This window comes from Homo sapiens, chromosome 4, assembly GCF_000001405.40.
Source record: "Homo sapiens chromosome 4, GRCh38.p14 Primary Assembly".
Classification (NCBI taxonomy): domain Eukaryota; kingdom Metazoa; phylum Chordata; class Mammalia; order Primates; family Hominidae; genus Homo; species Homo sapiens.
Window position 1 is genome coordinate 67,701,264 of NC_000004.12, and position 25,136 is coordinate 67,726,399.

General features: G+C 42.2%; 1 long non-coding RNA gene and 3 pseudogenes across 1 annotated transcript, besides 5 other annotated features; 1 reads left to right on the plus strand and 3 right to left on the minus strand.

Moving 5' to 3' along the window:
* Window positions 15–21,242, plus strand: UBA6-DT (UBA6 divergent transcript). The gene is made up of 2 exons (NR_015439.1): window positions 15–221; window positions 19,159–21,242. It is a non-coding gene; the product is annotated as a UBA6 divergent transcript (long non-coding RNA).
* Window positions 13,083–13,132: an enhancer, noted in NCBI's record as "active region_21598". NCBI's record gives its function as "activates an Ori minimal core promoter by ATAC-STARR-seq in GM12878 lymphoblastoid cells {active_cell/tissue: GM12878}" and the evidence as "EXISTENCE:reporter gene assay evidence [ECO:0000049][PMID:35858748]".
* Window positions 14,915–16,324, minus strand: ST3GAL1P1 (ST3GAL1 pseudogene 1; annotated as a pseudogene).
* LOC100419862 (dynein, axonemal, assembly factor 5 pseudodgene) lies at window positions 17,736–19,978 on the minus strand (annotated as a pseudogene).
* Window positions 20,048–20,342: a silencer, noted in NCBI's record as "tiled region #4539; HepG2 Repressive non-DNase unmatched - State 15:Elon". NCBI's record gives its function as "represses a minimal TATA promoter and a strong SV40 promoter by Sharpr-MPRA in HepG2 cells {active_cell/tissue: HepG2}" and the evidence as "EXISTENCE:reporter gene assay evidence [ECO:0000049][PMID:27701403]".
* Window positions 20,048–21,435: a biological region, named in NCBI's record as "BRD4-independent group 4 enhancer GRCh37_chr4:68587217-68588416".
* Window positions 20,236–21,435: an enhancer, noted in NCBI's record as "BRD4-independent group 4 enhancer chr4:68587217-68588416 (GRCh37/hg19 assembly coordinates)". NCBI's record gives its function as "activates an origin of replication core promoter dependent on BRD2, P300/CBP, MED14 and CDK7 cofactors, and independent of BRD4, by STARR-seq in HCT116 cells {active_cell/tissue: HCT116}" and the evidence as "EXISTENCE:reporter gene assay evidence [ECO:0000049][PMID:35650434]".
* Window positions 21,756–22,544: an enhancer, noted in NCBI's record as "H3K27ac-H3K4me1 hESC enhancer chr4:68588737-68589525 (GRCh37/hg19 assembly coordinates)". NCBI's record gives its function as "activates a minimal SCP1, AML or CMV promoter by ChIP-STARR-seq in naive H9 embryonic stem cells {active_cell/tissue: H9 hESC(naive)}" and the evidence as "EXISTENCE:reporter gene assay evidence [ECO:0000049][PMID:30033119]".
* Window positions 23,963–25,136, minus strand: LOC100419046 (tubulin alpha 4a pseudogene; annotated as a pseudogene).

The following is a 25,136-nucleotide window of genomic DNA, read 5'->3' on the forward strand; positions in this document are numbered from 1 at the left end:
GGCGTCCTGGTTTCCGGTTTGGGTGTGGCCGCATGGCGTGCTGTGGTGCAGGTGGCCGAAGGGGGCGTTACTGTTGCGACTGGCATCCGCATCCGGCAGATGTAGATGGAACCAAAGTCCAGAAGTTACGCGTCACCCTTGCTCTACAGCCAAACATGCAGGACTCTAGTAACCCGCGAAATGATGGGATAGCGTTGCAAATCCTTAAAAGAGTCTTAACGGTAAGAAGAGGAAACAGCTTTATTTTATAAATAAACTGAAGGCTGCTAATAGCTCCAGATTGTCAGTGAGGGGATACCACTTAAAGATGTTATACATTTAATAAATAATTTTGGGAGTCCACTACATGTGAGGCGCTGCCTCAGATTTAATAGAATCATGTGACTTTTAGTGCCATAGATGTCGTTAGATCATCCAGTTTGGTCCCTTAAATTTGTGGGTAAGGGAAAGGAACTTCCGGTCAGTGCAAGTGACTTGGTCAAGGTTATAGAGCTAGTCACTGTTAGATTACCAGAACACATATCTAAAAAGTTCTCATATAATTCTTTTTCATTTACTTCCGTGTCACCTTTCTTAGAAAGCAAAAATGAGTTGGACACAATAACATTAGGATTTGTCTTTCACTAAATAACACTGTATATTTGAATAAACATCTGCAGGATTTTTAAAATTAGCATATACTTTGGGTATTATGTAATTTTCTGTGATGTATCATATTTTTAATTAGAAATTTTTCCTCTCATATGGAGATGAGGGTCCAGGCAAAACTGTATTATCCTTCGTGCCCTCTATTCTCTTCAAAATTGCACATCTTAAAATACCTGGAAGCTTTATGTTGCTCACCTATAGCATTATCCGTGTTCCTCAATCCAGTTGTGAACCTTTTCCACATTAAAATGTTCTTGATCTGTGTTCTATTCTTTCAAGGCTCTGCTCTAGCACTAAGATAATGCTACAGGACTGAAGATAATGAAAAAGATTGAAGAAAGCAGAAACAGAACAAAAATCAGATTATTTCAAAGTTTCTTTCCTTGTAAAGGTTAAAACAGAGCATACTTCCTTATTATGCCCACTAGGTTAACTAGAATCTCCTGTTTTTTTAAAAAAAACTGGCTCATTTTTTCAAAATCCACTTTAATTACATGGTGCTTAGCACAAGCAACTCCATTCTGGTTTGATCTGATGGGGCCTAGTGTAGAAGGCTAGGCCAAAACAATGGCCTGCCATTACCCACGCTTCTTCATATTTTAACATCCATGAATAGAGGATGAATTTTTAAAAAATAAATACAGAAAACGATGCATCTTAAAATTGAGGGCATGTTAGATTTGATAAAATATGGTGTGAATTATTTCAGGCATGTAACAAGCAACCAGATTTAACAGATTTTAATGTTTTGTCACATATGTAAAATGGGAAAGAAAACTAGGCGATCACAGCTTTTTGACAGTGAGGCTTTATGTCATAAGAAAGTAGAATGACATATTGAGGAAACTTAAGGGAAAAATATGTAGGCCAAAGATTTTACATTCAGCAAAACTAATATACAAAAGGTACAAACTGTTATCAACAATTGATATATCAATTTGGTGAGACTAGTGTTTTCATGAGCCCCTCCTTAATAATTAATTGGAGAAAGTGTCTGACAATCAGAATTATTACAGAAACATTGATCTAAGGATTGACTCGGTTTCTTTACAGCAAATCATAATCTGTTGCATTTATTAGCTTTTGTGTTTCTTGTAGTTTATTCTTTATTACTAATTCTCCTGAGTTCTGTCACCTCATTTCTGAGGTTTTTCTAATTCAGAATCAAGTTCTTCCATATCTTTTATCATTTCTCTAATGTCATTTAGCTAGTTTCAAAATAATAAATTGTTTTGTAGTGCATCTTTCAGGCATGTTTTTATTATCTTTGATGATGATGTTATATTCCTTATTCTCTTCACATAATAACTGCATGGATTTGAACTTGATGCTTTTTTTGTTGCTCTTTTTTTTTTTTTTTTTTTTTTTTTTTTGAGACAGAGCCTTGCTCTGTTGCCCAGGTTGGAGTGCAGTGGCGGGATCTTGGCTCACTGCAAGTTCTGCCTCCCGGATTCACGCCATTCTCCTGCCTCAGCCTCCCGAGTAGCTGGAACTACAGGCACCTGCCACCACGCCCGGCTAATTTTTTGTATTTTTAGTAGAGACGGGGTTTCACCGTGTTAGCCAGGATGGTCTCGATCTCCTGACCTCGTGATCCACCCCTTGGCCTCCCAAAGTGCTGGGATTACAGGCGTGAGTTATTGCTCATTTTTATGTGAAATTGGTGTTCCTGAACTAATATGAGACAGGCTTCTTAGCCCAATAAGCCTAAGTTTATCAGGAACAAAACTGTATTCCAAGAAAGTCAGGTATATTAGTCTGTTTTCACACTGCTATAAAGAAATACCCGAGACTGGGTAATTTATAAAGGAAAGAGATTTAGTTGACTCACAGTTCCACATGGCTGGGGAGTCCTCAGGAAACTTAAATCATAGCAGAAGGTGAAGGAGAAGCAAGACATATCTTACACGGTGGCAGGAGAGAAGTGAGATCGTGGGAAAACTGCCACTTTTAAAACCATCAGATCTCATGAGAACTCCCTCATTATCACAAGAATAGCATGGGGGAACTGCCCCCATAATCTAATCACCTCCCACCAGGTCTCTCCTTGCACACATGGGAATTAAAATTTGAAGTGAGATTTGGGTGGGGACACAGAGCAGACCATATCATCAGGTTTACTGGCTCATTGCAAGGAGGGAGCCCACATTCCAGAAGAACCATGGGGTACCTCACCAACAGAGGAAGAGATAGATTTATTGTAGGAATTTGGGGAAGTATGGAGTTTAGAAGGAATTGAAATGAAGTAGTGCTTTGATAGACTCAAAAGAAAGCAAGGCTGTTTGTAAAGAATTCTACACTACATCTAAACTATTACTAATGGCAAAAACTGCAATTACTTTTGCACCAACGTAATACAAGATGGACCCAGGGTTCTGTTTTTTGGAAATTGCAAAGTTCTGCCTCTCAGAAGTAGAAACTATTTCTCTGTGTCAATGTGACTTTAGATATTCTAGCCAAGAGTGAGATATTTCAATCTTAATAATAGGATTTAAACAGCAGAGTTTTTGACAATCTTTTGATATTGTCATAAATGTTCTATGATTTTAGAGAAAAGGGCATTGTGTGAGTAAAAAATCAGTTACTCTAAGGGTGTGTGTGTGTGTGTGTGTGTGTGTGTGTGTGTGTGTGTGTTTGAGACATTTTAAAGCATCTTCCAGAGAGAAATAGTATTTTCTGTTAATTTCACAGCTGGCTTTATTTATGCCTGTTATCCCATAGCTGATGAATGGCAAAGCAGATTTTTACTTTCTTATTCTATGCTTATTTGCTTTCTCACAGGTTTTGGGAAAACTTTTCTAATTTCAGAGAATTCCCTTTTCTGTTGCTTTTGTGTAATGTTCAGCAATATTATGGTTTTATTTCCTTTTTAAATTAATACATACATAATAAGCATATATTTATGGGGTATTTTGATATTTGCGTACAAGGTATAATGATAAAACCAAGGTAATTGTGATATCCATCACCTCAAACATTGTTTATTTCTTTGTGTTAGGAACATTTCACATCTTGCCTTCTAGCTATTTTGAAATATATGATAAATTATTGTTAACTATAGTCACCCTCTAGTGCTATCGAACACTAGAAATTGTTTCCTCTATCTAATTGTATTTTTGTACCCATTACGCAACCTTTTTCATCCTCCTTACCCCCAACCTTCCCAGCCTCTGGTAACCATCATTCTACTCTCTACTGCCATGAGATCCACTTTTTTAGCTCTCACTTATGAGTGAGAATATGTGCTATTTGTCTTTCTATGCCTGGCATTTCACTTAACATAATGACCTCCAGTTCCATCTATGGTGCTTCAAACTACATGATTTCATGTTTTTGTGTAGATGACACATTTTTAAAATCCATTCATCTGTTGATGGACACTTAGATTGATTCCATATCTTGGCTATTGTGAATAGTACTGTAATAAACATGGGCATGCAGATACCTTTTAAATTTATTGAATTCCGTTTTTGGATGTATACTCAGGAATGGGATTGTTGGATCATGTGGTAGATCTATTTTTAGATTTTTGAGAAACTTCCATACTGTTTTTCATAGTTTCTGTACTAATTTACGTTCCCACCAGCAATGCACTAGTGTTCTCCTTTTGCCACATCCTCACCAGCATCTGTTATTTTCTGCCTTTTTGGTAATAGTAATCTTAACTGAGGTGAGATGATGTCTTATTGTGGTTTTGATTTGCATTTCCCTGGTGACTGGTGATGTTGAGCATTTTTTCATATGTCTGTTGGCCATTTATATGTCTTCTTTTGATAAATGCCTGTTTAGATCATTTGCCCATTTTAAAATTGGATTATTTGGGGGTTTTTGCTATGGAGTTGTTTGAGTTCCTTATATATTCTGATTATTAATCTCTTGTATGAGTAGTTTTCAAATATTTTCTTCCATTCACTGGGTTGTCTGTTCTCTGTATTGATTGTTTACTTTGCTCTACGGAAGGATTTTAGCTTGATGTAATTCCGTTTGTCTATTTTTGCTTTGGTTGCCTGTACCTTTGAGGTCTTACCCCAAAAATTTTTGCTCAGACCAGTGTCCTAAAGTATGTCCTCAATGTTTTCTTCTAGGAGTGTCATAGGTTCAGGTCTTACAAGTAAGGCTTTAATGCATTTTGATTTGATTTTTGCCTATGATGAGATATAGCAATCTAATTTCATTTTTCTGCATATGGATATTCAGTTTTTCCCAGCACCATTTATTGAAAAGACTGTCCTTTCCCCACTGAATGTCTTTAACACCTTTGTTGAAAATAAGTTGAACTTTACTGAATTTGTTTATCAACTTCAAGAGTACTTTGATGAAGCTTTTAGGACTTTTTAAAAAGTGTAATATCATGTTTTCTGCAAATAGGTACAATTTCACTTTCTCCTTTACAGTTTGAATGCCTTTTGTTTCTCTATTCTCTACATGTTCTCTCCTGTTTCATTGCTCTATGTGTATGTTTTTATACCAATACCATAATCCTTTGTAGTATATTTTGAAGTCTACTGTGATGCCTCCAGCTTTGTTCTTTTTGCTCAGGATTGCTATGGCTATTCATGGTCTTTTGTGGTTCCATATGAACGCTAGGAGTTTTTTTTCTATTTCTGTGAAGAATGTCATTGGAATTTTGATAGTAATTGCATTGAATCTGTGGATGACTTTTGGCATTGTGGTCATTTAAAAAATATCAATTCTTCCAGTCTGTGAGCATGTGATACCTTTTCATTTTTTGTGTGTGACCTCTTCAATTTCCTTAATCAGTGTTTCATAATTTTCCTTATAAGAATTTTTCATCTCCTTGGTTACATTTATTTCTAGGGTGTATTACTCCATTTTCACACTGCTGATAAAGACGTACCTGAGACTGGGCAATTTACAAAAGAAAGGTTTATTGGACTTACCGTTCCGCATGGCTGGGGAGGCCTCACAATCATGGTGGAAGGTGAAAGGCACATCTTACATGGTAGCAGACAAGAGAAGAGAACTTGTGCAGGGAAACTCCCCTTTTAAAAACCATCAGATCTCATGAGACTCATTCACTATCACTGGACAGTACAGGAAAGACCTGCTCCCATAATTCAATCACCTACCACTGGCTTGCTCCCATGACAAGTGGGAATTGTGGGAGTTACAATTCAAGATGAGATTTGGGTGAGGACACAGCCAAACCATATCATAGGGTTTCTTTTTTTGTAACTTATTGTAAATAAGATTGCTTTCTTGATTTCTGTTTTCACTAGTTTCTTGTAGATATATAAAAACACTACTCATTTTTGTATGTTAATTTTGTATCCTGCACTTTACTGAGTTTTTTTAAATCAATTCTAAGAGTATTTTGATAAATCTTTAAAAGCTTTCTTTATATAAGATTATGTTGTCTGCAAACAGGGACAATTTGACTTTCTTCTTTACAATTTGAATGCCTTTTATTCTTTCTCTTTCCTAATTGCTCTGGTTAGAACTTCCAGTACTACACTGAATAAGTGTGGTGAAAATGAATATCCATGTCTTATTTTAGTTCTTAGAGGAAAAGCTTTCAGCTTTTCCCCATTTAGCATAATCTTAGCCTTGGGTTTATCATATATGGCCTTTATTGTGTTATGTTCTTTTAAACCTAGTCTATACCTAGAAGATTTTTATTATGAAGGGTGTTGCATTTTATTAATACTTTTCCAACAACTATTGAAATGATTAAGTCATGGTTTTTTTTATTTTTTGGGGGGGGTGGGGTAGGTTGGGATGGAGTCTCGCTCTGTTGCCCAGGCTGGAGTGCAATGGCATGATCTCGGCTCACTGCAAGCTCCTCCTCCCGGGTTCCAGCAATTCTCCTGCCTCAGCCTCCCAAGTAGCTGGGACTACAGGCATGTGTCACCGCGTCTGGCTAATTTTTGTACTTTTAGTAGAGATGGGGTTTCACCATGTTGGCCAGGCTGGTCTCGAACTCCTGACCTCAGGTGATCTGCCTGCCTTGGCCTCCCAAAGTGCTGGGATTACAGGCATGAGCCACTGCACCCAGTCAATTAAGTGGTTTTTGTCCTTCGTTTTGTTGATGTGATGTATCATGTTTATTGATTTTCATATGTTAATCCATCCTTGCATCCCTAGGGTAAATTCCACTTGATCATGGTGAATAATCTTTTTAATGTGCTGCTGGATTCAGTTCGCTGGTATTTTGTTGAGGATTTTTGCATCTATGTTCATCATAGGTTTTGTCCTATAGTTTTGTTTTTTTGTTGTGTCCTTGTCTGGTTTTGGTATTAGGGTATGCTGGTCTCAGAATAAGTTGAAAGAATCCTCTCCTCTTTAATTTGAAGAGTTTGAGAAGAATTGATATTAGTTCCTTAAATGTTTGATAGTATTCAACAGTGAAGCCACCAGGTCCTAGGCTTTTCTTTGATGGGACACTTTTTGTTACTAATTCAATTTAATTACTTGTAGTTGGTCTGTTTGGGTTTCCTATTTGTTCTTGGTTCAAACTTGGTAGGTGTAAATGTCCAGGAATTTATCCATTTTCATTAGGCTTGCCAATTTATTGGCATATAGTTATTCATAATAGTCTCTAATGATCCTTTGTAGTTCTGTGGTATCAGTGGTAATGTCTCCTTTTTCATTTCTGATTTTTAAAATTTGGGTCTTTTTTTTTTTCTTGGTTAGCCTACGTAATTGTTTTTTAATCTCAATTTGCTTTATTTCTGCTCTGGTTTTATTTATTTTCTTCTACTAGTTTTGAGGTTGTTTTGTTCTTGCTTTTCTAGTTCCTTGAAATGCATTGTTAGGTTTATTTGAAGTCTTTCTATTTTTTTGATGCAGGTGTTTATTGCTATAAATAGCAATATATTGCTTTTTTTCAATATTCTTTTGCTGTATTCCATTGGTTTTGGTATCATATGTTTTTATTTTCATTTGATTCAAGAAATTTTTAGATTTCCTTTCTAATATCTACATTGATCCATTGATCATTCAGGAGTATGTTGTTTAACTTCCATGCATTTGTATAGTTTTGAAAGATTTTCTTGTTATTGATTTATAGTTTTCATTGTGGACAGAAAAGATACTTGATATGATTTCAATTTTTTTATATTTTTTGAGACTTGTTTTGTGGCCTAACGTGGTCTATTCTGGAAAATTTTCCATGTGCTGATGAAAAGAATGTGCATTTTCTGACTGTTGGATGAAATGTGCTATAAATGTCTATTAGGTCCATTTGATCTGAAGTGCAGTTTAAATTAAATATTTCTTTGTTAATTTTTGTGTAGATGATCTGTCAAATGCTAAGAGCAAGGTGTTGATATCCCCAACTTTTATTGTATTGGAGCCTATCTCTTCCTTTATATGTAATAATATTTGCTTTAAATATCAGGGTGCTCCAATGTTGGATGCATATATATTTACAATTGTTATGTCTTCTTTCTAAATTGATCCCTTTATCATTATATAATAACCTTGTCTCTTTTTGTTGCTTTTGACTTAAAGACTGCTTTATTATATAAAAGTATAGCTATTCCTGGTCACATTTGGTTTCCATTTGCATGTGGATTAGTCAATTTTCTTACTGCTATGAAGAAATACCCAAGATTGGGTAATTTATAAAGAAATAGAGGTTTAATGGACTCACAGTTCCACATGGTTGGGGAGGCCTCACAATCATGGCAGAAGTTGAAGGAGGAGCAAGGGCATATCTTACATGGCAGCAGGTAGGAGCACATATGCAGGGGAACTGCCCTTTATATAACCATCAGATTTCATGAGATGTATTCACTATCATGAGAACAGCATGGGAAAAATCTATCCAATGATTCAGTTATCTCCCACCAGGTCCCTCCTGTGATACATGGGGATTACGGAAGCTACAATTCAAGATGAGATTTGGGTGGGGACATAACCAAACCATATCATTCCAACTCTGGCCCCTCCCAAACTTCATGTCCTCACATTCCAAAACCAATCAGGCCTTCCCAGCAGTTCCCCCAAAGTCTTAACTTATTTCAGCATTAACTCAAAAGTCCACAGTCCAAAGTCTCATCTGAGACAAGGTAAGTCCCTTCTGCCTATGAGCCTGTAAAGTCAAAAGCCAGTTAGTTACTTCCTAGATACAATGGAGGTACAGGCATTGGGTAAATACACCCATTTCAAATGGAAGAAATTGGCCGAAATGACAGGGCTACAGGCCTCGTGCAAGTCCGAAATCCAGCGGGGCCATATGGGTCTGCAGCAACCTCAATTCTTGCCTCTTCAGAAAAAAGAATTTGACTGAGGGGCATAAGGCAGAAAAAGAGACCAAGGTAAGTTTCAGAGCAGGAATAAAAGTTTATTAAAAAGCTTTAGAGCAGGAAAGAAAGCAAAGTATGCTTGGAAGAGACCCAAGTGGGCACTGAGAAGGTCAAATGCAGTGTTTAACCTTGATTCTAGGACCTTATAGGCTGGCCCTCCTTCCCATGTCTTGCACCCCTTTCCCATAATTCTTCCCTTAAGGTGAAATGCCTGGATGTGCAGTGCCCTCGTTACACTTGGGAGGTGAGCACAAGCAGTGTGTTTAGAAAGTTGTTTGTATGCCCATTTGAGGCTTTCTTCCCTTTTCTGGTGTTGTGCCCCCGGAAGCTCATGTTCTACCATTTTGTCTCTTAATGCACATGCCCGGGAAGTTGCTTCTCACTGGCATCTGCATTCAATGAACACTTTAGTGCAATAGGTGTGGACCATCAGGAAATGGCCTCTCCCTGGTGTCGGATGCCAATGTTTTATAGTTACAGAACATTTTAAAATGTATTATTTTTACTCCATACTCCTGAATTATTGAGTATTAGCACAGAAAGGATGCTTGACCATCATCTAAATGTTCAACTCCTTTGTTTCACAGAGGATGACCCAAAGACATTAAATGGCTTGAATAAATTCACATAATTGTAGATGCAGAGTCAAGACTAGAACCTAGTTTTCTTCCTAATCTAGTGTTTTTCTAGTATATTATGCCAGACATATTATGTTCAAAAACTGGAACATCTGTTTTGTGGCTATCAAAAAGATTAGGAAATACTGAGTCCTGAGATCAGGCCTTCATGAACACAGTTGGAGAGTAGCTGACCTTTCGCATTTGAAGACTGGCTTCTTTGCCCAAAGGTATTGTAGTAACATTTGAATGAGTTGGAGGCAACTAATTAGAACCCAGAGGGAATTCCATCGTAAAGAAAATAACCCTTTCAATAAATGTGAATAATTATCTACTTAAATTATCTATAAATTAGAATATGTGTGCCATACACAATGTTTATATCCCCACCAAATTCATATGTTCAAACCTAATTCCCAGTGTCATGTGAGGCCTCTGGGACATGAGAGCTTAGAGAACTCCCTTGCCTTTTTAGCCATGGGCAGGTGAGAAGACAGCTGTCTGTAAATTAGGATGTGCACCCTCATTAGACACCGAATCTGCCAGTGCCTTAACCTTTAACTTCCGAAACTCCAAAACTGTGAGAAATAAGTTTCTGTCATTTATAAGCCACCCAGTCTATGGTAGTTTTTTTTTTAATAAAATAGCTCTTTTTTTATTCACTTTGATTTGGATCATTGGAAATATTCAACAATAAATAAAACAGAGCAGGGGATGAGGAAAACAGGATCTTGCTAACATCATTCAGATGCATCCCAACCAGTGCTCAGCTTCACAACAACACGGAGAGAGGTAAGGGAGAATAGAGAGCAAATTTTAAAACACCAACAGCCAAACACACAAGACTGCACAGAAGAAAAAGTGCTCAAGAAACTTTGGTTTTGAAGGGAATTCAGTGGAGGGAAACGACTGTGTAGGAGGAAGGGAATAAACCCATAATCACCCTAAGAGGCAGGGGCTTGGACGGGGAGGCCCTGATGCAGGCTATGGTTAAATCTGACATCCCGGAGCTCAGAACATGCAACCGATGGCAGTTTTGTACTAGGAAGAAGCTGAGTGATGAGGCTGGGTGATGGTATCACCTGATAGGCTGGGAGGGAGAACAGGAGGTGCAAAGGCGGCTCACTGTCAGTAGGAAATTCAGTGCTCTTTTGATAAGAAAAAAAATCGGTAATATCCTAATCCTGACAAGCTGAGATGCTGCTTTGCCTGTCTCTGCCTTTTCTTCTAAGTCTTCCTCCTTTTCTTTGCACAGGTGTCAGGTAGCACCCCAGGGGTGCAGGAGCTGGTGTTTTCATGGCAAACAAGAAGAGGGAGGTTGACTCTATATCAAAACTAGCTAGCCCAGTCCATGGGGCAGGATGATCCTGGTGGCATGCAGTCACATTTGCTGCAAACCAGATGTTCATGATGGATATAATGATACCCCCAGGGCTTTTCATAGGGGCGAGGACAGGTGCTGGTTCCTGATGACACATGCCTGGCATCCAGTGATCTTTAGCTGGACGGTGGCCCCTCAGGGCGTGGGCTTCCCTGCATAAAGTAGTTTTGATCCTAACCAGGTGAGGGAGAGTGAGTTCTTTTGGTTTCTCTGTTACTTGTTTTCAGATTACCTCAAAGCAAACATCCCTGTTCTAAATGTTCTCTGTGGTTTTATTCTACCTTTGCCAAGAAGCCAGAGTCACATCCAGGTGGGACTGGCCTCTAGCATGGCTTTCTGGCCACATCAGAGAATGGGATTCCATCAAAACCTCTCAACAAGCCCTTTCCCTAAAGAATCACCCAGATCTTAACTGCCCTCTCCCCCTTCTTGACTTTTTTTTTCTATTTTACATTCTATTTTCTCATATCTGGCTTTTCTCTCTAAGCCTAGCCAAATGCTTTGCTGAATGATGCTAGGACTAGCCAGAGTTTTAAAAGGCATTCATCCATTTATGAACTTTCTTCCAGCCCAGGATCCCTGCAGAGCACCGGAGGTTACAAATCTGCCCTCCTTTCTCCCCTAAAAGGTGACTGAGGGGAGGGGAGGGGCATGTAGCTCAGCTATAGCAAATCAGTACCCTGACTCACTGGGGAGACCCAGGGGGCTGGGATGTTGCTGACACTTCATGGGCCACCTTGTCAGCCTATCTTTGTGGCTTCAGGTTCAGCTCTGGGTGCTGCAGGCAGGGACCCGTCTACTCCCTGCCTGAGCCCAGGGCCGGTCTCCAAGGAGCTCTCTGCCTGCAGAGTAGAAAGAGCCCTAGGCTGGGATTCAGGGGCCTGAGGGAGCCCCTGCCACTGCCTGCCCAGCAAGAGTGCTCCTCATTCTCCTGCTGACAGCATGCATGGTGCCCTTTGGCTAACACTCTTGTCTAATTCCCAGCCACCTTCACCCCAGGGTTGCATTTGGTTTAAGCCAAACTGGTGCATTTAGTTCTGGCCACAACAATTGGCTTTTATTCTGTTAAGTGCCCATTGCTAAGCCAATGAGACATAAGAGATGTCTGCTGGGCTTCTTTTATGTCTCATAAGAGAAATGCCATCTCCTGCACTGGAGGGTGTGAGAAGGCAGAGACAAGAGCTTGCCTAGGGCCATGCAGGCAGCCTGCGGACACAGCTCAGTGCTGAGAGAGCAGAGGAGAGTCAGACACCTCCATTCTGGTTACACTTTTTCCAGATGCTGAATAGAGACTCGCTGGGAAAGCCCGCCTCCAGACAATTTAAACATGGTGCCAGGAACACCCCGTTGTTGCTGAAACTCTGACTTGTGCTATCTGTCCCAGCCAGTTCCTGATTGCCAGTCACTTCCCTCCTTCGTACTCCACCAGGAAAAGGCCACGCCTCCCCATGCAGCAGTGGCCTTTTAGGAAACGTGCTTAACAGGATAGGTGGTTTTTCTGATTAAACATCAGTAACTAGAGTCAACAATCACTGTCCTCCCATGCCTGGCACTCTCCACTCCCCACCCAACTGCAATGTGGCCTTGCTTTTCTTATCAGTAAAATGGGAGAGCTGGATTTGGGGGCTGGAAGATATCTCACAGCTTGACCATCCTAGTGGAACGGAGGGAGACCAGACAGAGAGCAGACGACCGACCCAGGCAGCATCCGGCTCAGACACAGACATATCTTCATTTCAAGGGACCTATTCTTACTCAAAGAAAACCCAGAGAAGTCGATTGCTCAGCCTGAGCCGGTCATCCCTAAATGGAGTCAGCTTTTAGGAGAAGAGGAAGAGTTCAGGAGACAGCATCGCTCTTTGTATCAGTGTTTGACTAGCCAATCAAGAAACGTTTGCTGAATTCTTCATGTCATACATGTCTGTGAGCTCTGCCCTTCGAGGATGTCTGTTGTGAATGATGACTCAGTGATTACCAGCCTTTATCAGAAAAAAAAAAAAGTCTTAAAGTTTTGGAGGATGTTAAAGCTGAAACAGGTTTTTTGTTTGTTTGTTTAACACTTTCCACATTCTGAACCCTTGAGAATCTAATAAAAGCTATGGAACCTCTCTCCAGAAAAATGCTCATATGCAGAGATTCAGAGAAAAAAACAAACTTAGCATGCAACTTCCAGGGACTCTTGTGAATGGCCTGAAGCGACCTTTACCCATGACTGGTGTCCCCAAGCTCCTCCCTCCCAGTGTGCAGAGGGGGTTTCCCTGAGCCTGGGAGCACAGGCCCCATGCCTCCTTCACACTCCACCAGGAAAAGGTCACACCTCCTCAAGGCAGCAGTGGCCTTTTAAGAGATTTTTTTTTTTTTAAAGAAAAGTGGTTTTTCTGCTTAAACATTAGTAACTGGAGCCAACAATCACTGTCCCCACCATGCCTGTCACTCTTCACTCCCCACCCAGCAGCAATAAGGTTTCATAGAGTTTTGGAGACTCCTAGCCTGAGAATGAATTCCAGTCCACAGTGAGGAAGAAGGAAGGTTGGGTTGGAATGGGAGGATGCTGTGGACATTCCACAAACCATCCAAGCCCTAGATACCCCCAATATCCCAAGTCCAAGGACTCCTACAAACCTTCCTTAAGCCTCCCTATTTCCCAGCTGCTGGGTGAGGCAAGCTTCATTAAAACACCAGGACCACCAACACACCAGGACCACCAACAGAGCCACAGTGCAAACAATGTCAATTGAATTTTTAAAAAATCAATCAATAATCAGGAAGCCTAACGAGGAAAAGAGAGTAGTTGGGGAGCGAGAAGATGAGGTATGTGCCAGTCGCCATTCCTGGGATGTCCCTGGCCCAGCCCCCCAGTGACAGCCCCAAGGTGGCCAGCAGGGACTTGACCCTGAGCTCAGGCCCTTGGGGAAAATGCTGCTGGAAGCCTCCTGTGTGGCCTTGGTGGTTAAGGGCACCATATTGAGTAGTCTGAGAAAGAATGTATGGTCCCATTCTGACGCACTGCTAGGGGGCGCTGAATATCCTCAGAGCTTTGTTCTAATTCAGGTGCCAGCTCAGGAAACCAGAAAAGATGTTTCCAGCTACGGAGCAAGTGGGGCCACTGGTGGGGATCCCTTTCCCCAAGTAGGGGCTTTTGCCTTATTTCAGCCAATACGTGCTTTTCTTCCCCAAATGCAAAGGCATATGGAAGCGGTCAGATCTGCTCTTGCCACGATTAGAGCCATGAGACTGATTATCCAAAGGAATAGCTGCTTGGGAAGAGGCATCTTCAGGAGTTAGAAACATGGTGCCAAGTTTTTTGTTTTTTTTTCCTTTTTTCTTTCTTTCTTTTAGAGACAGGGTCTCACTCTGGGCTGGAGTGCATTGGTGAGATCACAGCTCACTGCAGCCTTGAACTCCTGGGTACAAGAGATCCTCCCACCTCAGCCTCCCTAGTAGCTGGGGCTACAAGTGTGTGCCACCATGCCTGGCTAATTTTAAAAAAATATTTTATTTTTGTAGAGATAGGAGTCTCACTATGTTGTCCAGGCTGGTCTTGAACTCCTGGGCTCAAGGGATCCTCCTGCCTTGGCCTCCCAAGTTGTTGGGATTACAGGTGTGAGCCACGGCACCTGGCCTCAAGTTTCTGTGAAAATCTTTGGGGTAGAAGCCTCTGGTGGCACTTAAATGAGCTTTGGGAAGAAGGGGATGACAGGGTTATCACGCCAAGGGAGAGGCCAGGCTTCATGCAAAGAAGGGCAGCATCTCACCCCCAGCGCGGATACCGCCCAGCGTTTCTCTGTGCTGGAGGTAATCACCACTCAAGTTTCTCTGCCAGTCTTCCTTGGGAAACCATGCTGTCTCTCAGAATATGGGCGTCTTCCACATTTGTTCCCCAATCCCACCCCAGGAGCCAAAATGATTTTAATATGTGGAGGTTGAACCTTTTCCAGCGTCTCCCCAGCCCTGGGGCAGCAGTCGGGGGACGTTGTCCCCACCCAAGACAGGTTTTGAGACATGCTCCGCCATGATAGGTAGTGACCTTGCTGAGTAGATGCTGCCAACGGCTGGGTGCAAGAGGCTGCAAGTGGCACTTGGGCACACACCTGAGGCTGACCCTCCAAGATCCCGGATGGACTGGCTCTGGCAAGATGCTGGGGCTGGAAACGCAGAGGCATGATGGTGCATCCATCCTCAACCCTTCACTGTGTCATCTCCCCTTGAAGATCCGGATTTTATTCATGAAGCCAAGGTGGCCGTCACGTTAGACTCAAAGCCTGCATCGTGCACCCCCGTCTTGTGAAAAGACCCCGCAGACAGGTTGTTCTCCCAGTAGTGGTGTCAGTTCCCTTTGCTATCTGCTCAGAAGCTATACAAGTCTACCTAATCGCAGACATGCATTGAGAAGATGACCGAGAGGATGCTGGTGAGTGGGTACCGCCTGTGGCTCTGCAGCCAGTTGTCGAAGACATACTTGATGAAGGCTGGGTGGTAGATCAGGATCTTATCCTGTTTCACTCTGATCTTCACGAGGACCGGGGTGTAGGTGTGGGAAATGGCACCCGTGGTGGTGGTGCTCACCACCCACTCCAAGTTCATGGTCTTTAAGGGCACCAGGACCATGCTGACATTGTCCCCCAGCTCCCGGAAGCTCTCAGGGTACACCAGATGGTGGGCGGTTTTGCTCCCGGCAGCAGCTTCAAACCCTGCCGTGGGTGCCTTGTTCATCCTGAGCATAAAATTGTGACTCTATCGCAGGCCTATATGACAATTGCCTCAGGTTGCCCGAGTTGCCCACGACAGCACAGTGCCAGCAGCCCACCGACCTCTTCTCCAGCATTGGGTCCACATTCCCAGGTACTGCTCTGAATTCCTTGATGGTATTGTTGATGATATTGGGCTTCTTCTCCTGCTGGAGCCTCAGCCACCATTGGTAGGTGTTGTCCTCCAAGAGCGCGTTCTGGGCAGTCAGCAGCAGCTGCACTATCTGGTTGAACCTCTCATCGAACCAGGCTGAGAGCCCATGCTGCCTGATGCAGTGGGTGCAAGTGCAGGGCCTGTGCTTGATCAGTCTCTTCAGGTTCTCCAAGAGCTCCAGGACCATCTTCTTGGGGAACCAGGTGGTGGCCACCATGGCGTGGGAGTAGTTCAGGAAGGAGGTGAGGAAGATGAAGAGCACGAGGAAGGTGAGCACTTTCAGGGTCCTCTTCCGCAGGGTCACCATCTTCACTGTCCTGATGGCGACCTCCCTGCAATGGGTGGCAGGAACTCCCTCCTTTTCAGAAAATAAAGTAGCCTATTCTTCTGCAATCCTTAAAGAGCTGATAACGTCTCTTGATAAAGCTTTAACCAGTGATTTCCATTCCCATCCGAAGAAGCTAAGAGGTAATTAACCTCTGTGACAGTCCAGGCTCTCTGAGGAGTGAGGACCTTGAAGGAAGGGTCTTGGTATAGCAGGGAGGGAAGCTGTCTCTGCCGCCCTCCTCCGAGTGTGGTTTCTGATGATCCTTAATTAGGGCTTTGTCTTTCATGCTGTCACCAGAGACATGGTGGGTTATATGACAAGCTTGATGAAGGCCACAGAAGGTTGGCTGTCATTGGCTGTGTGACTTTAGTGGAGTCTCTTAACCTCTCTGAGCCTCAGTTTCTTCATCTCCATAGGCTGAGTGACTGTCCATCTCAGGTCCCCAAATGGAATTGTCCTGGCCCAAGCTCAAAGCATTTGCTCACTGCAGCTCTTGCAGATGTTAATTTCCTCTCATTGACATTTCCAGTTAAAGAAGGTAAAATCTGAAAATGGTACCAGCATGGCTGGAGACACGCTGGAGTTTCTGGGATTTGGGCATGAGGGAGTTTGGAGTAGATAAAAGGGTGTGAGTGTCCCGGATACTCGCCCCCTTCCCAGCTCACATCGCTTCTTCCTTCTCTCTCCGCTCCTCTTCCTCCTCCTCCTCCCTCCAGTTTAGGGGTCTTTGTCTTTGCAAAGCATTGAAACTGTCTGGCACAGTGGGCTCCACTGGCAGAGACTGGAGCCGGGGAAGTGGGGAGGCAGGGTGAGGGTGGGAGAGGGCTCAGGAATACCTTCTCCTGGTTGTAGTGGGAGTGAAAGGTGGGGTGACTGGGGAGGGGCCGCCTTCCCTGGCCAGGGGCTGGGAGCAGGGTGTAGTTTGTTATAGCAGCCTAAATAGACTAAGACTATGTGCATATCACATTTTCTAGGAATATTTTTGAAAACTTGCATGTAGAACAGTAAGAGAAATTATCATAGACTAACAATTGAAATATAATTCTCCAAGACTTAAAAAAAATAAATATTTTAAATTAAATCTTTAAACAATAAAGCATAATTATTAATATTTGATTGTTGGAAAGTATACACAACATTTTCCCCTTTGTATTAACATAAATATTAGCTTATGATAACAATACTCACTTAAAGTCCTTTAGGCACTTGGGTATAGAAAATAAAATATAATTTTACTTTACTGCTACTTATAAGAGAGTAAGCAAAATTAGATCTGGTTACTCTATTTTCAACACTGTTAGCATTACTGACCTAAGAAAAAAAATACTCTTAATGTATATGTCTATATAACTTTTTAAGTTCCATGATAGTTAAAATGGGAAAAACTTTATTGATTGTTAAGATTTCAAACTCCTTTTAGTCTGTTCACTGAGATATTAAATTTCAGGAGACAGAAACCAAAGAAAGATGAAATTTCTTTTTAGGAGGCTTAAAGGACACAAATTCTGGTCCAGGTTAGAATGAGTGTTTGGTGTCTGTTCCCACCCCTAGCCATCACACTGAATGCTCCCAGCCCAGAATGCTGGTCACTGTGTGGCCAGCAAGGCCTGCATGTGCTACAGATGCTGCTCCCAGCCAATGCAGAGTGCTGCTTGTAGATGACAGCATCAGTCTCCCTCATCAGATCTGAGGATAGGATGCCGCCATCTTAAAGGACCTCTAAAATTGCTTCCTGGATGGCGCTCTCTGAATCATCAAGATGAACAAGGAGTTCCTTATACAGATATTGAATGTTGTTTTGATGATAAGACTATCTATCAGTGCTTTTGATGCATTTCAGCCAGGTGATTAAGGTGGATGCAGCTGCTATTATTATGTTGTTGAAAATGTCATCTAGATGTTTTTAGAGTTCAGGGTAAATCTCAATGAATTTATCTGCATTAATCACATCACCAGAGGTTTTAAAAAATATATGTATTAATTTTAAATCCTATAAAATTAATACAGAAAATATAAATGATTGGGTCATTTAACTATATTTTTTTAAATAAACTGAAAGATAAAGAACACAACACTTCACACATTTTATATTTCTCTTACATACTCTGGAATCATACACAGTTCTTTTCTTTTTAAAGCACAACATTAAAACCTTTAAAAGGCATTTAAGGGTTTGGTCAAGTGAATATGATAAAACATACTTGTCTGTATAAAGAGAAAATGAAATTGTAGTCACTGTTATGTACTGACATTAGTTACAACCTAGTTTTAATTCTTAAAACAATTTTGATTAGCAAAGCTAAAAAAAATGGATGTTTCAGTTAAATGTTTTAAAGAGGTACAGATTTTTACAAGGACATAATATAAGTTATTGTTCTGTAGAAATATCCTATTAAATATTGTATGTCCCTCCCTCTGTACACTTTGTAAAGAAAGTAAAATACATAAAAAGAAAATCATATAGGGATGTGTGACATTATTGTAATTGTGTACTTGAGAATAACGTGCAAAAATAAAAATCAGAATATTTTCCTGTTAAAAAAATAATAATAATAATAATTTTGCATGGAATTAACTAAGTCAGTTGAGAATATTCTTCCAGGGTGGTCAGAATTTGAGGTATCAGTATTCCCTACTACACTTCCTGTATCTGTTTGACCAACAGGACCTTGCAGCTAGGGAGCACCCAGAGGCAGGACACAATGGCTGTCCTCCCACATGCCTTTGCAGATGTCCTTTATCACTGTCTCAGGGTAGCTGTGAAACTGCCTTTGGGAGGTGATGGTGTCCTTTGGCCTCAGCAGCACTTTGGACAGGATGGAAAAAAGTTTTAGACACATCTGCAGGTCTCTGGCTGGCTGGAGATAGGCATTGGGTGTGGGGACCAAGTGTTGTGGCACTTCTTTTACAACAGAGCCTGAGTGACAAGTACGTTGAGCTGCATAAGTTCTGCAGAGTACATAGTCCAGTCGTTGTGTGATGTGGTTGACCACATCTGTGTATTTCCCACAGAAATCCTGGCTGACATTGACTTCTCCACTGCAACCATCGAGTTCATTGTCTCCTAAACCTTGCCATGGAGGCCTGTGGCACCTGAGCCAGCCATTATCATCACCAGCACTTCCATGAGCTACAAGCTGGACCCACTGCAGTCCTCCTGACACACTGAAATCAGAGCCTGCACACAGAGCAGCAGATGCTTCAATGTAAAGGTCATTTCCAGGTCCTTGACAGGCGTGCATCTGGGCCAGATCCATGGCAATAACCTTCAGGTTGAGGCTAGAGGGCTTCAGATGGGCAGCTTCGAATGACAGGAGCAAGGCACAAGAGGCCGGAAAGGGAGGGTGACATTTTCAGCATCTATAAGATCAACTTTAGAAACATTTGGGGGTTGACAAATTCCCATCAAGCTCTGTGGATCTTGTACAACTGCTCACCACCGGCTTCTCATCAGCACATGATTGGTGCAGGGTTCTGAGGATGATTTTGAGATGTTCCCTGATGTGGTCTTGTGAGGAGATTTCATGACAGATGGCAGGAAGCTTCGTGGAGAGATTTCTGAAGACACTCCTGAGCTCCCAACACCGGGCAACTCTCTTCCAGAGGATAGTGGGGTGGAGGGTAGAAGAGAGGCAAAGTCAGGTTTGTCCTTCGGATCCCCTTCATTCTCCTTTTGCCACCGTAAACCAACTTTTGCTTACAGTTAGACACCAGTTTTCGGCAGATGAAATCCCTCTGATTTCAGGCATTTTGTCAATTAAGCTGCTCAGCAACAATAGGATAAACTTATGAAAAGAAAGGAGTAGCAGTCCCACAGACAAAGCATCCAGCCCCTGCACTGAGACAGTATAGGGAAGGGACTTGGTCCTGGCAGACAGGACAGATAATCAACATCCTAGTGGGCCTTACACATGTGGGCATATTCTTTTCCATACCTTCTTGTCTGTTTTAACAAGCTAACCCCAGTCACAGTAGCAGAGAGAGGGTCCATCCTAACTTAGCTGACCAGGCTGGATTCCTAATCATAAAACCAAAAAAGGAAGAACCTAACCATTTCTCTCTTTCAGCTATGTGTTCCAAGATTACTGAAGCAGGATTCTGGCCTTCCTGATAAGAACATGACCAGATCCAGCTGGTTTGCAACAAGATGAACTTCAGTGCTGAGCTTTCACCAAGTTTTTCTCACTACAATCTCATTGTAATACTAAAATCTCCACCCAAGATGGAGGTTATCTGCCATTTTCTGTACATGTGTTACCAGAAAGGGGTCCTGATCCAGACCCCAAAAGAGGGTTCTTGGATCTCACGCAACAAAGAGTTCGGGGCGAGTCCATAGAGTAAAGTGAAAGCAAGTTCATCAAGAAAGCAAAGGAATAAAGAATGCCTACTCCATAGGCAGAGCAGTGGCTTTGGCTGCTCAGCTGCTTGTACTTGTTACTTCTTGAGTATATGCTAAACAAGGGATTGATTACTCCTTGTTTAGCAGTTTTCTGGGAAAGGAGTGGGCAATTCCCAGAACTGAGGGTTCCTCCCCTTTTTAGACCATATAGGGTGACTTCCTGATGTTGCCATGGCATTTGTAAACTGTCATGGCGCTAGTGGGAGTGTCTTTTAGCATGCTAATGCATGAGCAGTGAGGATGACCCGAGGTCATTTTTGTTACCATCTTGGTTTTGGTGGGTTTTGGCTGGTTTTGGCCGGCTTCTTTACCACTTCTTTTTATCAGCAAGGTCTTTGTGACCTGTACTTAGTGCCGACTTCCTGTCTCATCCTGTGAGTAAGAATGCCTAATCTCTCAGGAATGCAGCCCAGTAGGTCTCAACCTTATTTTACCCAGCCCCCATTCAAGATGGAGTGACTCTGGTTCAAATGCCTCTGACACATGTGCCTCATGTTTGGGCATGAGACCTCACTGTGTAGGTGCAGAGAAGACCCTGCCTAAACATTGCCTACACGTTGCTCCTTTTTCCTGCCTCAACTTCCTTAAAATGACAAGAGCAGAGCCCTTTTGGGAGCTAACATCAGGACTCCTTTTCTGTACTCTGCTCCGTTGTGCTGCTAGAGCCACAAGCCTATTAAACTTTGCCTGAAATAAATTCCTATTTGCGCTGGTGTTAATTTTTACTTATGAGTGAGCCAAGAACTCAGGCCAGAGTTGCGGTAACACCACCAGAAGAGGTCTCCGCTTGTCAGACTTGAGGGATATCATCAATGAGCCTCTGAGCTAATGGTGTAAACCAAAAATAAAATTCTAAGCCCCCCGCCAGCCAAACCATCTGAATGGACTTCCTCCTCAGCCAGGGTGCTCTTAAAATTTAACCTGAGAGACTGGTTCAGGTCATGATGGGAAGTAGGGGTTGGACATGCCTCATTATACCTCTCCAGCATTAACATCAACATAAACCCTAAGTCTAAGAAATTTTTACAACCTATTCTCTCTGAAGCTGACTACCTTGGAGGCTTCATCTGTTTCATAAAATTTTGGTCTCCACAACCTCTTACTTCAACCCAGATATTTCCTTTCTATTGATCCCAGGTCTTTAGATAAACTTAACCAATTGTCAACCAAAAAATTTTTAAATCTGCCTATAAACTGGAAGCTCCGCACTCCGCTCCCCTCCCCTCCCCGCCCTTCGAGTTGTCCTGCCTTTCTGGACAGAACCAATGTATTTCTTAAATGTACTTGAAGTCTCATGTCTCCCTAAAATGTATAAAACCCAGCTGCTCCCTGACCACCTTGGGTACATGTTTTCAGGGTCTCCTGAGGGCTGTGTCATGGGTTATAGTCACTCAAATTTGGCTTAGAATAAATCTCTCCAAATATTTTACAAAGTTTGACTCTTTTCTTCGATAACGGAAACACATGATGCCTAGATAGGGAGTGAACTAAGTGTCTCCTAAGGTCACTGCCAGGTGGGACAGCTGCAGAGTGTCCTGCACAGCACCTTGCAGACCTCCCATGGCTGCCTGCTCTGTAGGGCCTCAGGAGGGCTGCATGGCATGCTGCAGGCCTAGGCCCAGCAGGTGTGCAGCCAGAGTGCTGCACTCTCTGCTGGTGACAAAGAAGAAATTACTTAGGCCAATAGTAAGGGTATGGGAGTCCTCAGTAAGGCTTTTCTTTTAACGAAAAGCAGCCGCAAATCATTTTCTAACAAAGGGCAGCCTGTAAAGTTGAACTGCAGACACAGACAAGCAAGTTGGGAGCTTGCAGGGGTGAATGCTGGCAGGAACTAGGGACTAGATACGTTCAAGATGGCGGTTCCATCTTCCCTTCTCTGCCAGCCAGTGTACAGTAAGGAACAGACAAGATGGCGCTGGGATCAACTGGAAAGTCCATTTGCATAATAAGATTAGGGTGGGGAAACCAGCCTTTCTCACTCGCAATGTAAAAGTCATACCTGATCGAACCAATCTGTGAGCCCTATGTAAATCAGACACTGCCTCCTCAAACCTGACTGAAAAATCAGGTGCGTTGGCCAACCAGCCAGCCCTTTCAGCTCAGAGACCCCTCTCTCTATAAAGAGAGCTGTTTCTCTTTCTTTTCTCTTCTGCCTATTAAACCTCCTCTCCAAACTTCCTGGTGTGTGTCCGTGTTCTAAATTTTCCTGGCATGCAATGACGAGCTCCAGGATATATATCCCAGACAATGTAGCTGCTTTACTGGGTCAGCCAGGCAGAGCAGCAGGCAGGGCAGCTGCAGGCGTGCCCAGGGGCACTGGGTGGCGCTCTGGCCTCACTGCCTCTCCCAGCGAGTGATAGCAGCCCAGCTTGCAGATGGCCTCCAGCTGAGGCATCCAGCACTTGGGGCGTCACTCAGCTCTGCGGCCTCCGCTGCTTGGGACCAGCCTGCGGCCGACACCACTATCTTCCTACTTTATTGTTTGACTTAACTACTTAAGCAACAGTGACTGGAGACAAAATATAATAACTTCAAAATATAATAATAAATGTGTATAAAATAAAATGACTTTCTAGGCTTTATGGTATAAATGCATCAGGATCTGCCTGCTAATGCAGCTAGACTGTAGTATGTAAGAGGAAGAGTGTTCAAAATAAAACTAGAGAGGAGCCTAAATAAAACTAGAGAGTTCAAAATAAAACTAGAGAGGAGCCAAAATAAAAAGAGTGTTCAAAATAAAACTAGAGAGGAGCCGAGTTACTTGGGAATTTGTAAATACAACAGGTATTTCAGGTTCAAGTTCAGGGATGATAGCCTTTCCTTCTTAAGCCTATTCTTTTTTTTTTTTTTTTTTTTTTAGACGGAATCTCACTCTGTTGCCCAGGCTGGAGTGCAGTGGTGAGATCTTGGCTCGCTGCAACCTCTGCCTCCAAGATTCAATTGATTCTCCTGCCTCAGCTTCCTGAGTAGCTGGGATTACAGGTGCCCTCCATGGATCTCAGATAATTTTTGTACTTTTAGTATAGGGGGGTTTCACCATGTTCGCTAGGCTGGCTTGAACTCCTGATCAAGTGATCCACCTGTCTGGGCCTCCCCAAGTGCTGGGATTACAGGTGTGAGCCACCACACTGAGCCTTAAGCTTATTCTTTCTGTCATCTCTCTCCATACACACTCATGCATACACACATCTATATGTCATTCTGTTTGTTAAAGCCTTTACTTTCATGGATGAAAATAGAAAAAAATTTGTAGGTACACAAGAGTTATGCAGGAGCAATCACATTTGAAAGTAAAGACAATCTAATCAGACACTGATGACTTAAGTTAAAGATAAACTGTGCTAAGATGTGGCAAGTTAAAGGGAATAGACAACTTATATTTCTCTCCTTCTTTCCCTGATCCTCTGAAATCCACATTGCCTTATAATCTTTCCCTAGGCCATCCATGCTTCTGAATACTCCCCTTCTTTCATCTCTTCACCCTTATACACAGTGAACAAAGGCACTCTTGGCATGACCAACTTGCGGTCTAGGCAAGTCCAGGCTTCAGCTATGACTGCAGTATTGCTCCATGAGCACACAACTGCATTTACTTTGGCAGTCTCTACTAGAACTGCAGTGGGACACTGATAATTGATTCCAACCTTGAAGCCAGAGAGGCACAGATCTGCAAATTTGTCTTGATGGTGGCAATGCAGCCTTCATATTTGTGGAAACCATATTACACTGATATAGTAATAATGTATTATTACCATAATACTATACAATAGGTAGTGAGCCATACATTTATCATTTCAAGTGTCACATATCATCTGGTTGGCTAGCTCAGAGCAAGCATTAGTTATCTCTGCTACAGAAAATGTTTGTGGTAGGTTTTCCCAGCAGAGATAGCTGGATATATACACGGAGGGAAGTAGACATAAAGATAGAGAATAAGTATAAAATTTTGATATATTGACATTCAAGGCACCATGAAATCTGAGAGAAACAATGATGGAGAATACACACTGGTTGAAAATGTGCTTAAGGTTATTGTGTATTGGGTGCTCAATATTAAGGTTTCTACATAAATATTATAGATGGCCTCATTATCTAATATGAAGACACAATCAAAGTGCTAAAGAGTTGATGGAATTGAAGACCTCAGCTTCAGCTAAGGAAAGCTAAGGAGCTGGGTAAATGGAGAATTTTGCTCCTATAATCAACTGATAGAGATTCTATCAACAGAAAGGCAAATAAAAACTGTAGTTACCACCAACCAGCAAAAATTCAAGAAAGCCTGAAGACCTGTACTTAAGTCAGCTAGCTTCTGAATCCAATCCAACACTTAGTCAATGCTTTCCTTTTCAACGGTGTAGTGACTAGAGGCAAAGCTATTTGATGCATCTTCTTTGCTAGTGATCGCTTCCTAAGGCAAACTTCATCACCACGTATTGGCTCTAGGTCCACAAACAATTTTGTGGAGCCATGCTTGACCACAATAGTCCCGTTGAAGAAGGTATTAAAGGAGTCATCTTCTCTCAGAATGCTCTTATTGTTTGGCATTGGATTTGGGCTAAATTTTGTATTCCAGGCATTAGAGCTCCTACCA